Here is a 14,073-nt window from a genome sequence, read left to right as displayed (position 1 = left end):
TAGGAAATTTTAAGCATGCCTTAAAAATGAAAACTACTGGGGATTCCCAGTGGACTCTGCTCTGAATCTGAAGGAACTCTCCAAGGGTGGCTTCAGAGATTTGTCTTCACGCTGTTGCTGAGATCTAGTTGTTTGTTTTGAGCTTTACTCTATGTCCACATTGGAAATGCACAAACTGCTGACTTCTTTGAGAAGAAGGCTCCCAAGTCTCCTAACTTCTCCTAACTAGGGTCCTGGTACTTCTGGCTGTTCTCAAGGGTTGGTCTTCATTCTGTCCGGTTACATCCCCACACTGTGTTTTGTTTTGTTTTGTTTTGTTTTTAGACGGAGTCTCTCTCTGTCACCCAGGCTGGAGGGCAGTGGTGCGATCTCAGCTCACTGCAATCTCCCCATCTCGGGTTCAAGCGATTCTCCTGCTTCAGCCTCTCAGGTAGCTGGGATTACAGGCGTGCACCACCATGCCCGGCTAATTTGTGTATTTTTAGTAGAGACAGGGTTTCACCATGTTGGCCAGGCTGCTCTCGAACTCTTGGCCTCAAGTCATCTGCCTGCCTTAGCCTCCCAAAATGCTGGGATTACAGGTGTGATCCACTGCACCCAGCCCCCACATCTGTTTCAATGAGTGAGAAGCCCAGCAGCCTGCCTTTGGGTGCTGGGGCCAAGGAGTAGAGGCAAGCCAGCCAGTCTATGCAGATATTAAACAGGTGATGCTGGTGTCCAAGAGAGCTAAGCATGTCTCTCCAGTACATGACCTCTGCTTTACCAGCTTGACTCCTGGAGGCTTCTCCTTTTAATTTTTATTATACTATTATTTTTAGAGACATGGTCTTGCCGTGCTACTCAGGCTGGTCTTGAACTCGTGGCCTCAAGCAATCCTCCTGCCTCGGCCTCCCAGTGTGTTGGGATTACAGGTGTAAGCCACTGCACCTGACTGAGGCTTCTAATGGAATGTTGCTAACAGCTACTGTTTGGCATGCTTGGGTACAGGAGTGTCTGTGGTTGTGTTTATAAGTATGTGCATACACACACGTGCACGTGTGTGCATGTGTGTTGGGATTGAAAAGCTGGGCTGGGCAAGAACTAGGAAGGTCTGCTTCATCAGCTTTATCCTCAGATACAGAGCCCGGGGAGGTCTAGTAATGAATTTGGAATTGGGGTGTGCATGACATTGAATCCTGGCTTTACCACGTAGCCACGTAGCCGTATAACTCAGGCACTTCTTTTGTTATGAGTCTTGCCTGTGGAAGAAACCTAATGAATATTTGTGAATGATACATGAATATTCTAAGATGCTACCTTCATATCAGGGTCTCAGTGTAAAACCTAGGAATGACAGGTATTTTTTCCTTTACCACGTTATTATTAACAAATGTGTAGGTTCCTCACCAAATTGTAACCATAACAACTAGGATTTGTAGGATGCATACTAAAGGCGGGGGTCTATGCGCAGAGGTTTGTATTCATTAATCAGATAATTCTTACATTTCCAATAGGTATTAGCGTCCCCATTTTACAGATGAAGAAACCAAGACTCAGAGGAGTTTAGTAGTCTGTCCTCATTCCCGTGGTGCCAAGTGGCAGAGTCAGGATTCACATTTAGTTTATTTTTTATTTTTATTTTTTTTAGACAGAGTCTTGCTCTGTTGCCCAGGCTGGAGTGCAGTGGTGTGATCTCGGCTCACGCAGCCTCTGCCTCCCAAGTTTGAAGCAATTCTTGTGCCTCAGCCTCCTGAGTAGCTGGGATTACAGGCGCATGCCACCATGCCCAGATAAATTTTTTTTTGTTGTTGTTATTTTTAGTAAAGACAGGATTTCACCACGTTGGCGAGGCTGGTCTCAAACTTCTGGCTTCAAGTGATCCACCCACCTCAGCCTTCCGAAATGCTGGGATTACAGGCATGAGACACCACGCCCGGCCTCACAGTTCGTTCTTATCTAGAGCCTGTACTGCTCCATGCTGCTCCTGTGAGCACAGGGACGATGCACTATTCCTTATATTTCCTACAGCCTCTGGTACAGTGCTGCACACACAGGAGGTGCTCAATAACTGTTTAAATTGGAAGCACTCAATACACACTAGCTAGGGACTCAGGATGAATCTTGAAATCCAGCTCTTCCGACTTAAAGGAAGCTTATTACATCCATGTAAAGGTGAGGCTCCAGGGGCCTCAAACAGAGCCCCTGGCCCTCCTGCAGACCTTGATAAGACCAAGAAGCAAGCCGTGTCTTGAATTCTCTTCTTTTGAACAGCAAAATAGAAGAAGCAAAGCAAAAAAAAGAGGGCGTCAACAAACAACTTATCCGGCGCCGCTATGAGGACCTGGAAGGCGTGGAGGAGAGCAGGGATCAGCAGTGCTCACAGAGTTTCTGGCTGGAGCTGCTGGAGAAGAAGCCTCAGATGCCAATTGTCAAAAAGGCTGACCCCAACATGAAAAAATTCCATTACGCTCTGGTGGATGGCTCCTCTCTGACCTAATATCCTTGTGAAAATCCCAGGCGGGAAGGAGGATGAAGGGGGCAGGTCGTGATGGAAGGGGCTGACAGCTGGGGGTTTCCATTTCAGCAGAAAAAACCCAGGAAGGATTGGGAAAAGAGGTCTCAGACCTTGAGTTTGTTAATCCCTTTTTACCAATGGTCCACATCCCCACAATCTGGGGGCAAGAGAAATCAACCCAAAAAAGAAGTTGGGGCAAGTTCCTCACTTTACAACCTTCTTTTTTTATTTTTATTTTTTTTCCCCACAGGATCCTGCTCTGTTGCCTAGGCTGGAATGCAATGGCACAATCTTGGTTCACTGCAGCCTCAGCCTCCCAGGCTCAAGCCATCCTCCCATCTCAGCCTCCTGAGTAGCTGGGATTACAGGCACATGCCACCATGCCCGGCTAATTTTTGTATATTTTGTACAGACAGGGTTTTACCATGTTGTCCAGGCTGGTCTCAAACTCCTGGCCTCAATTGATCCTCCTGCCTCGGCCTCCCAGAGTGCTGGGATTAAAGGCGTGAGCCACTGCACTCAGCCCAAGCTTCCTTCTTTTTAAGGGAAGCTCTGGTCATCGTGCATATATTTTTTTGCACGTTTTTGTTTGTTTGTTAATTCTAATTTTTTAAACAATGTTTTAATATTACATTAAAATAGAGACAGTGTCTCACTATATTGCTCAGGCTGCTGTCAAACTGCTGGCCTCAAGTGATCCTTCTGCCTCAGCCTCCCAAAATGTTGGGATTACAAGTGTGAGCCACTGCACCCAGCCATGTAGCTGATATTTGTGTGAAGTGCCTGAGGGCTCAGGTGATTCTGAGAAACAAGTTGTCCTTGGTTTATTTTCCTGCTTAGAGAGAATGCCATGGGGATTTAGCATCTAGAGAATCTAGCTAAGAAAGAAGAGAACTTTTATAATCAGCTCCTACAAATCCAAAATGAAAAAGGCCTCAAGAGTCCATTGCAGACAGTTTTGGAGAGGTCGGTACAGGTAGGTTTTGTGAAATTGTTCGCATATCTGTAATCATCCTCAGCCCCTCTTTACCCCTACCTATCCACAGATGTTGTCAGGACAACTGATCCTCCTGCTCTATGCTGGAACGAGCTCATTGAGAAATACTAGGTCACAATGCACAGCTTTGGTTTCCAGCACTCTAGCCATTAACAGGACCAGTCTAACCAGACTCCCTTGTTATTATTCACAGATTGGCTTCAAAGAATTTAGGATTAAAATGAGGGTGCAGAAATACGCATGGATGGGAAGAACATGCTGCTGAAAATCATGAAGCCTGTGTGCTGGTCTGGCGCTACCGTTATCACGCTCAGAGACTATGGGAGTGAGAGGCACCCTCTCTGGCCCTCCCATTGCCTTATCTGTAAATTGCTGATTTTTTTTTTTCCCCGAGATGGAGTCTTGCTCTGTCACCCAGGCTGGAGTGCAGTGGCGAGATCTTGGCTCACTGCAACCTCTGCCTCCCGGAATCTAGCAATTCTCCTGCCTCAGCCTCCCAAGTAGCTGGGATTACAGGTGCCCACCACCACACCCGGCTAATTTTTGTATTTTCAGTAGAGACAGGGTTTCACCGTGTTAGCCAGGCTTATCTCGAACTCCTGACCTCATGATCCGCCCACCTCAGCCTCCCAAAGTGCTGGGATTATAGGAGTGAGCCACCGTGTGCAGTCTGATTTTTTTTTTTTTTTTTTGAGATGGAGTCTCACTGTGTCACACAGGCTGGAATGCAATAGTGCAATCTCGGCTCACTGCAACCTGCACTTCCCAGGTTCAAGCCTTTCTCCTGCCTCAGGCTCCCAAGTAACTGGGATTACAGGCATGTGCCACCATGCCCAGCTAGTTTTGTATTTTTAGTAGAGACGGGGTTTCAACATGTTGGCCAGGCTGGTCTTGAACTCTTAACCTCAAGTGATCCACCTGCCTTGGTCTCCCAAAGTTCTGGGATTACAGGCATGAGCCACGGTGCCTGGCCTGTAAATTGCTGATTAAAAAATAAAATAGGCCGGGTGCGGTGGCTTACGCTTGTAATCCCGGCACTTTGGGAGGCCAAGGCAGGTGGATCACCTGAGGTCAGGAGTTCGAGACCAGCCTAGCCAATGTGGTAAAACCCTGTCTCCACTCAACATACCAAAAAATTAGCTGGGCATGGTGGCACACACCTGTAATTCCAGCTACTTGGGAGGCTGAGGCAGGAGAATTGCTTGAACCGGGGAGGTGGAGGTTGCAGTGAGCCGAGATCACACCACTGTACTCCAGCCTGGGTGACAGAGCAAGACTCCATCTCAAAAAATAAATAAATAAATAAATAAGGACGTATGTATGACAGCTAACATCTTTCTATATAAGAATTATTATTGTTAATGAATATCAATTCCTTAACCTGGATTGTATCTATCCTTCTGGGCACCTAGCTGTCTGTCAGAGCTATTCTGACCTCCCTTCAGGTGGTGTGTACACCAGCGTATTCAGTGACTTGCCAAATCCAGTTATCCTTGGAACCTTTACACCTTTTGGATGTGGCAGCATTTCTTTTCCTAAGAGGTACATGAGATTCCAGACAAACTAGAACTTTGGGGTAAGGTAAGGGGGTGGGTATGGGTGGGGGGGGTGGCAAGGGGTCGGGGGTAGGGCAGAAGAAAAGCTAACTCCTGACAAAAGGGAAGCAATCTTTCTAATTCTCACTCTAATTGGGAAAGCAGGTAAGGAAAAGGAAACGTACACACGTGCCCAAGGCTGTTCCTTGTACAGATTTGCATTAGCTTAGGTTGGAAGACCATGGGTCTCAATCCAGTTGCACCACCTGTGTGGAGATCTGTGGCTCTCTAGAGCAGAGGGACCTGCACAAAGGCAAGACCCTAGGAAAGCACAGACTGGGAGCTGAATACGGAGGCTGTCATTTCAGAGAGCCAGGTATCAGCTGGGCCTCCCTCACCCTTAAGAACTAGATAACACTGGCAGGACCCCCATTCCCTGCCCCAAGGATTGTCTCGTATCCCCCTTGAGATTTTTTAACTGGGCATGGTGCTCATGCCTGTAATCCCAGCACTTTCAGAGGCCGGGGCAGGAAGTCTGCTTGAGCCCAAGAGCTCGAGACCAGCCTGGGCAAAATAGTCAGATGCCCATCTCTACAAAAAAATTAAAAATTTTAGCTGGGTGTGGTGGTGCATACCTGCAGTCCTAGCTACTAAGGAGACTGAGGTGGGAGGATTCTTTGAGCCCAGGAGTTAGGGGTTGCAGTGAGCTGTGAACTGCACCGTTGTGCTCCACTCTGGGTGACAGAGCGAGGCCCTGTCTCAAGTAAAAATAGATAGATAGATATAAATGATAGAGATAGATAGATAGATGATAGATAATAGATAGATAGATAGATACATACATACATACATACATACATACATACATACATACATACATGCAAGATTTCTGCAAAGTTCTTAGGGATTATGATCTCATGGTCTCCTCTGGCTTTGACATTCCGCCTCCTTGGAATCTGTTTCTCTCGTCTGTGCCTTGTATCTGTAGGTTTATTTTGGCTCCTTTTTGATTTGAGGCAACTGGGGAATTTGCTCCTTCTCTTAATTTTCACATATAAAAACTGTTCACCCAAGGCCTGTGAGGGTAGCCGAGCATCTTGATGTTTGGGTCATGGGGAATTTACAGTAGAGTAATACAAGTAATTTCCTTGGAGTGTAAAATGTATTGAAGTGTTCATTTTGTCCTAAAATGTTGCCCAATATTTCATGTTTTCCTCTCCTGGATCCTCTTTTTTCTCTTTTCTAAGAGCCCCCTTTTCCCCCCTCTTATGCCACCCCTCCTCTCCAAGCCTTTCCATTTTCTTATGGAAGATATATTCAACTTATTATAGCTGTACACCCAAATCAGCTAACTTTTACTTGGTGAACAATTTGGATGAGCCATCCTGAGGTGGGGGGTGGCAGTGAGAAATCAAGGAAGAGAGGTGCAGTTACTTTATCATCTCACCCTGCCCTCAGCCATAACATTACTATAAGTTTTATTCATTTGCTTACATATTTTTTCCTTCTTCCTTTCCTGTAGTAAATATTTATTGAGCATCTATTACATTCCAGACACTCAGAATAAAGAGTAGTGTAAGATGCAGTTCCTGTTTCTCAAGAGCTGTCTTGTCAGGAGCCTACAGGCAATATTTAAAAAGAAAAAAAGGTCAGGCATGGTGGCTCACACCTGTAATCCCAGCACGTTGGGAGGCCAAGGCAGGTGGATCACTTGAGGTCAGGAGTTCAAGACCAGCCTGGCCAACATGGAGAAATCCTGTCTTTACTAAAAATACAAAAATTAGCTGGGTGTGGTGGCGCACCTGTAGTCCCAGCTACTGGGGAGGCTGAGGCAGGAGAATTGCTTGAACCCCGGAGGCAGAGGTTGCAGTGAGCCTAGATGGCACCACTGTACTCCAGCCTGGGTAACAGACCAAGACTCCATCTCAAAAAATAAATAAATAAATAAATAAAAAGAAAAAATACAGAAAATTGAAACAAAAAGCCATCTGTAGAAGATATTTATATATATTGATTCAACAAATATTTGCAAAGTACCTAATAATGTGAGTACTGTTTAAGCACTGGGGAGATAGCAGGGAACAAGATAAAGTCTCTGCCCTTGTATAGCTTACGTTTTAGTGAAGGGAGGCTGAGTAAATAAATATATTCCATATCGGGTGGAGAAAAGTGCTGTAAAAAAAAATAAAGCAGGAAAGAGGGACTAGAGGATAGTGGGAATGGGGAGATGCTATTTTGGGAGTGGCCAAGGAAGGCCTGTTTGATATGGGGACATCTGAGCAGAACCTGTGGAAGTGAGGGGCAGACATGCTGTTGTAGGCAAACTGTTCCAGGCAGAAGGAAATGTCAGAGCAAAGCCTTCCGGTAAGAGCACGCTTTACAAATCCAAGCAAAACCATGACCTCTAGAATGCTGGCTCCTGGAAAATATCACCCAAATATCAACCTGTTGACAAGAAAAAAGTGAGTTTATTCATACCAAGGGAAGGGAAAGCACTACCTTGCCACGGTCTTGGTATTGGTAGCTTCCCGTGAGTGGGGAGGACAACCTAAGTATCTACCAGCTAAGGAATGGGTGAGTAAGCTACAAGGTACTGTTGTCATGGATACAAATCTCCATCCACACATCCAGGTGAGCAGGAAAAACAACTTTTTTTTTTTTAATTGAGACAGGGTCTCGCTCTGTTGCCCAGACTGGAGGGCAGGCCACTACACCTGGCTAATTTTTGTATTTTTTGTAGAGATGGGGTTTCAGGATTTCTGCTATGTTACTCAGGCTGATCTTGAACTCTTGAGCTCAAATGATCCTTTCACCTCCCAAAGTGATGGTATTACAGGTGTGAGCCATCACGGCCGGCCAAAAGCAACTTGGAAAAAAAAAATTCTGCCACTCAACTTAATTTCTAGGTAAGCCCCTACCAGTAGGTAGCAGAGACTTGCAGCCCTGGAATCCTCTCTCTATGAGTTCATCTCAGCTCCAGCGAGCTGAAGAAATGACAAGGCATTGGCGGTTGGGGGATTGACATCTGATACTCAGGCACTTTCATTCCAAATGGTCTGCAGTGATTGGTCCCTGAAGCTGACAGCTGTGTCCCCTGGACCCCAGTTTCCCCGGCCTCTCAGGGCAAGCTCACTCTCAGCTGCTTCCACATCCTTGGCACAAGAGAAACACTTGTTTGTTCCTGTCCTGGGCAGAACGTGGGGAAATGGAGACTGTCTTGCACACAACCATCTGTTCTCCTTCTCTTGAGTTATGTTGGGCCTGAGGTCAGCTTCCAGGCTTTCCAACCTGGGGCCTCTATTGAGTTCCCCCATCCTACCTACAACTTGGCCTAAGGAGGACAGCACACGGCTGTTTCTCAGGGAGCCTCTCACACCTGGATCTCATCCTCCCACACTGCTTCCCATCCCCTACTCCTCTGGGGTGGAAAAACCTGCTCCTGATATTACATATTCTTCCACATCCCCTTTGCCATGTGTCTAGATCTCAACTTCTTAAACTCAAAAGCCAAGAATTTGACACTTCTGTTCTCATAACCCTTTCCAGAAGCCTTAGGTGATGTCCAATATCTTAGTTGAGTAGGAGAAGGTCATGGGTAAAAAGGAAAGACTGGGAAGAGAAAACATGGCAAATTTCTCCCACTACATTACATAGCATGCCCAAGTGTTAATACTTGGAATATACATATATGTGTATATAAACATATATATCTCCAAAATAAATTTAATTAATTATTTTATGTATATGTTACAATAAAGAACATGTAACAATCTACACACTGTGTTTATAGTCAGTTAATAAGGAGTGCATAGGTATCATTGCATTTATAATCAGAAAAACCTAAATATTATTTTTAAAATCCATATTTTATATATATATATGTATATATATGTGTGTGTGTATATATATATATACATTGTACCTATCCCGTAGTACGATTGTAAGATCTAAACAAGACAAATTACCATGGAAGTTTTTAGTGTGTTATAAGATAAGAGATAGATAACTTTTGGAGATGATAGATACGTTTATAGCATAGATTGTGGTGATGGTTTCATGGGTATGTACTTACCTCCAAATTAATCAAATTGTCAACATTATATACTAGAGCTTTTTGTATGTTGTTCATACCTCAATAAAGTAGTTTTAAAAAGATAGAGAGATAATAGGTAGATGATAGACAATAGATAGACGATGGGGAGATAGGTAGGTAAGTAGATGATAGATAGATAGATAGATAGATAGATAGATAGATAGATAGATAGACAGATGTATAGATACACAGATACAGATACATAGGTAGTAGGTAGATAAATGATAGATACATACATACATTCATAGATAGATATGGAGATAGGTAAGTAGATGATAGATAGACAGATGTATAGATACACAGATACATAGGTAGGTAGGTAGATAAATGATAGATACATACATACATTCATAGGTAGACAGATAGATATGGAGATAGGTAGGTAGGTAAAGACCTGAAAACTCCATGAAGCAGTGATTCTGAATGGCAGAAAGAGAAGGCAGAGGGTGGTTGGGTGCAGTAGCTCACACCTGTAATCTCAACACTTTGGAAGACCAAGGCAGGAGGATTGCTTGAGGCCAGGAATTCAAAATCAGACTGGCCAATGTAATGAGATCCTCATTTCAAAAGAGAGAGAGAGAGCAAGAGAGAGAGAGGGAGAAGGCAGAGGGTGTGTGGAATGGGGAGGTTTGAGAATCCCCAAGCGTAATGGGAAACACCAAGGCTGAGAATGTGCCCTTGACAGTGCACAGGCAGGAACGAGATGAAGGGATACTGCCATAGGAGCATGAAAGTTGGTGTTTCAAGGTACTACAGCTTTATCGTGCTTTAGGAAATGTGCCATAGCATAAGTGTTTCTTTGTGAAACCAGAGATGGCTGGGTGTACACTGCCCAAGAGCGGCGACTGACCAGGGAGACCTCTCCTGTTCTCTATCATACCAGGGCATTTTCTGCATCCTTGGGGATTGCTCATGAGGCTGTTTCTGGAGGCAAAGGCTGGGAAGCAGTGGATAGCTCCCCCACAGCAGGAGCATATCAGTGGCCCAGGAGGAGAGTTTTCTATGATTGCTATAACAGACTACCACAAACTTAGTGACTTCACACAAATTCATCCTTGTATGGTTCTGGATGTTGGAGGTCCAAACTGAGTCTCACTGGGCAAAGTCAAGGTATCAACCAGGCCACATTCCTTGGGAGGCTCTGAGGGAGACTCACACCCTTGCCTTTTCTGAGAGAGTGAGTCTAGAGATGGCCTACATTGCTGGGCTCCTGGCCCCTTCCTCCACCTTCAAAACAGCAGCATAGAATCTTCAAATTCCTCTCTCTGCTTCTGTTACTACATTTTCTTTCGTTTTTTTTAATTTTTTTTATAAGGTCTTGTTGCTGAGACTGGAGTGCAGTGGCACAATCACAGCTCACTTGCAGCCTTGACCTCCTGGGTTCAAGCGATCCTCCTGCCTCAGCCTCCTGAGTAGCTAGGACTACAGGCATGCACCACCACACCTGGTAATTTTTAAATTTTTTGTAGAGATGGGGTCTCCCTATGTCACCCAGGCTTGGTGAGCTCAAGCAATCCTCTTGCCTCAGCCTCCCAAAGTGTTGGGATTACAGGTGTGAGCCACTGCACCCAGCCAATAATACTTTATAGTGTTGTTGTAGTTTGTTTGTTTGTTTTTGACAGGGTGTCATCCTGCACCCATGCTGGAGTGCAGTGGCCTGATCATAGCTTACTGCAGCCTCAGACTCCTGGGCTCAAGTGATTCTCCTGCCTCAGCCTCCCAAGTAGCTGGGATGACAGGTGTGTGCCACCACACCCAGCTAATTTTTTTTTTTTTTTTTTTGTAGTGAGAGGGTCTCACTATGTTGCCAGGCTGGTCTCAAACTCCTGGGCTCAAGCAATCCTCCCACCTCAGCCTCCCATAGTGCTGGGATTATAGACGTGAGCAACCACACCCGACCACATCTCCTTTTCTGACTGATTCTCCTATCTCCCTTTTCAGAAGGACCCTTGTGATTACACTGGGCCCATTCAGGTAGTCCAGGATAATTTCCCCATCTCAAAATCTTTAGCTTGAGAGGCGTTCGCAAAGTCCCTTTTGCCATGAAAAGACATATTCACAGATTCTGGAGATTAGGGAATGGACATATTTGAGGGACCATTATTCTACCTACTACATCAAATGAAGGCTATCAGATGTTTGTGTTGCAAAGCCTGCCCTTTTGACCATTATTTTTGGCTTTTAAAAATAGTACCAGTCTGTCTGCGCCACAGTAGCTCACACCTGTAATCCCAGCACTTTGGGAGGCTAAGGTGGGAGGATCACTTGAGCTCAGGATTTCAAGACCAGCCTAGGCAATATAATGAGACCCCCGATTTCACAAAATATTTTTAAAAAAATAGCCCAACATTGTGGCGCACACCCGTGGTCCCAGCTACTTGGTAGGGAGAGAGATGGGAGAGTGGCTTGAGCCTGGGATGTCGAGGCTGCACTGAGCCATGATTGCACCACTACACTCCAGGCTGGGTGACAGAGCAAGACCCTGTCTCAAAAAAAAGAAAAAAATTTCCCAATCAATGTGTGCCCACATAGGCTCATCCGATGCTTGACCTTGATCCTTTAACCAGTCCCAGCCTTGACTAACTCATGCCTTATCCAAAGTTCCTCCTGACATACACAATATCCCACAGCCTCCCTGACTCCAATCCCTCCCCATGTCATACTGCAGAGGCTCAGAAAGAGGAGGATAAGAGATGGCATTTAATGTTAGTGAGGGTCAGGATAAGGTCAGAGGTGGGCTGAAGGAGTCAGGTAAGAATGTCAGAGTGTCCACAGACAACCAAGTGCAGGTGGCAGAGGCTGCCGGGCTCTTCAAGACTACCTGCAGCAGGTGTTAATTTACTGTATTTGTTTTGCAGGGCCGACATGACAAATTGCCATACATTGGGTGGCTTAAAACAACAGAAATATATTCTCTTACAGTTCAGGAGGCTAGAAGTGAGAAACCAAGGTGTTGACAGGATTGGTTTCTTCTGGAGGCTCTGAGAGAGAGACTCTTCCATGCCTCTCTCCTAGCTTCTGCTGTCGCCAGCAATGCGTGGCGTTTCTTGGTTTGCAGATGCTTCACTTCCATTTGCTTCTCTCTTCATTCACATTGCCACTTCCTCTGTGGGATCTCTGCTCTGGTCATAAGCACTCCAGTCATTGGATTTAGGACCCACCCTAAATCCAGGATGATTTCATCTCAAGATCCTTAACTAATTACATCTGCAAGGGCCCTATTTTATTTTATTTTTTAACTTTATTTTTAGAGATGGGGTCTCGCCATGTTGCCCAGGCTGATCTCAAACTCCTGGGCTCAGGCAATCCTCTGACCTCGGACTCCCAACCTGCTGGGACTACAGCACGTTTCAAATAAGATCACATTCTGAGGTTTAGGGTGGACATGCATGGGGAGGACCAGTGTTCAACTCACTGTAATTACTGTTTCTCTGTATTTACTTTTCCTTAGGCTATTACTTACCCCACACCTCTGCCTAATCCTCTTCCATGCGCTCGCTTTCAGTTTAGTAGATGATTCATATTTAAAGCTCCTTAGATGAAAAATGTAAAACAAAGACACCTCAAGCGTATAAATGCAGCAAATGAAAAAAAGCATGCAATGGGGATTTAGAAAAACATGCTCTGGCCCTTGGATCTTTAGGAAGAGATTGACATTATAACTTATTCACAAGGCAGCCTCTCAGTGAAATAAAGCACCATGAGGATAAATCCACCCTCCAGATTTGCTGAATTTGAATTTATTGATTGAGTTCCAATCACATATTTCCCAACCCCTGTATTTTGACTTAAGTCTTCAAGATGAAGGGAGTTGAGAATCAGGTCATCCAGAGAGCAAGAACCTTTTTTTTTTAAAACCAGTTCATAAATATCCTTTTGTGTGTTTCTACCACATTCAGCATTTCATATGTGCTGACCATGCTCCTGGTGAAGCCCCTTCTCACCATTTCCCTTCCCTGGCTGTTTTTATGAGCCAAGTCACCTGTCAAAATGTGTCAGCAGCTTGCCAGCAAAGAGTACAGGCCAGCAAAAAGCTAAAAGAAACAAAAGACTAACGCTTGATTCTGAAGATCCAAATATATAGAGAGAGACAGATTAATAGGGTAGCAAAGTACCTGGATGAGCTGCATGTAAACACCTGCCCTTGGTGTCAAAGAGTCTTTCCCAGCTTAGATGTTGAAATGAAAGGAACATGACAGAATCTGGAAGCATTTCAAAAGTTGAGAAAGCATTTACTTTCAAAAAGTCTTTTCATCTCCCAACTCTAGTCATTCAACAGTTTCGAAAGACAGATGAGCAAGCATGATGTAATTTTACGGCATTTTAATTGAACATCTTATTCTGTGACACTACAGACAAGATGGAAAAGTAATCATGACTTTCACGAAGAAAAAATGGATTTCACTTGATATTCCAGGGATTGTTAAAGTTAGGTTCTTTTGACACTGTTTCTGGTGAGTTTGATTCATGTTTCACCCTTGTTATTTGCTGATATATATCACTTTAGTGAGCACTTTTGCAAGTTATCTAGTTTTCCCAGGAACGCTATGACTAGGTGTAATTCCCAGAGGAGGAAACTGAGGCTTGGAGAAGATGGATACCTTTTCCAAAGCTCAGAGAAGGGCACTGAAGTCAGTTTTCAGATCCTAATTCCAGTGCTTTTTTACCTTCCAACCCTGAACATGTTGAGAGAAAGAGAAGCCTGGAGCTGAGTACACACCAGATGAGCAATACTAGGAGATTCCTTGGCCAGGTGCAGTGGCTCACACCTGCAATCCTAGCACTTTGGGAGGCTGAGGCAGGAGGATCACTTGAGGCTGGGTGTTTGAGACCAGCCTGAGCAACATAGTGAGTTTTTTAAAAACTAGCTAGGCATGATGGCATGCGCCTGTGTTCCCAGTTACTTGGGAGGCTGTGGTGGGAGGATCACTTGAGCCCAGGAATTTGAGGCTGC

The 14,073-nt window shown here is 44.9% G+C and overlaps 2 long non-coding RNA genes across 6 annotated transcripts in view; both read left to right on the top strand.

Moving 5' to 3' along the window:
- LOC107984545 (uncharacterized) overlaps positions 1 to 2,449 on the top strand; it is a 40,761-nt gene extending 38,312 nt beyond the window's left edge. For all 5 annotated transcript variants that reach the window (XR_001749267.2, XR_001749268.2, XR_001749266.2 and 2 more), the window contains one exon: positions 2,251 to 2,449. This is a non-coding gene — a long non-coding RNA (uncharacterized LOC107984545). The remainder of the gene's footprint in view (positions 1 to 2,250) is intronic.
- Positions 2,450 to 4,889: 2,440 nt separating this feature from the next.
- LOC105369917 (uncharacterized) overlaps positions 4,890 to 14,073 on the top strand; it is a 67,929-nt gene continuing 58,745 nt past the window's right edge. Inside the window, exons 1-2 of the long non-coding RNA XR_001749265.1 lie at positions 4,890 to 5,033; positions 13,388 to 13,573. This is a non-coding gene — a long non-coding RNA (uncharacterized LOC105369917). The remainder of the gene's footprint in view (positions 5,034 to 13,387; positions 13,574 to 14,073) is intronic.

This window comes from Homo sapiens, chromosome 12, assembly GCF_000001405.40.
Source record: "Homo sapiens chromosome 12, GRCh38.p14 Primary Assembly".
NCBI classification, from domain to species: Eukaryota; Metazoa; Chordata; class Mammalia; order Primates; family Hominidae; genus Homo; species Homo sapiens.
This window is presented reverse-complemented; position numbering and strand designations above follow the sequence as displayed.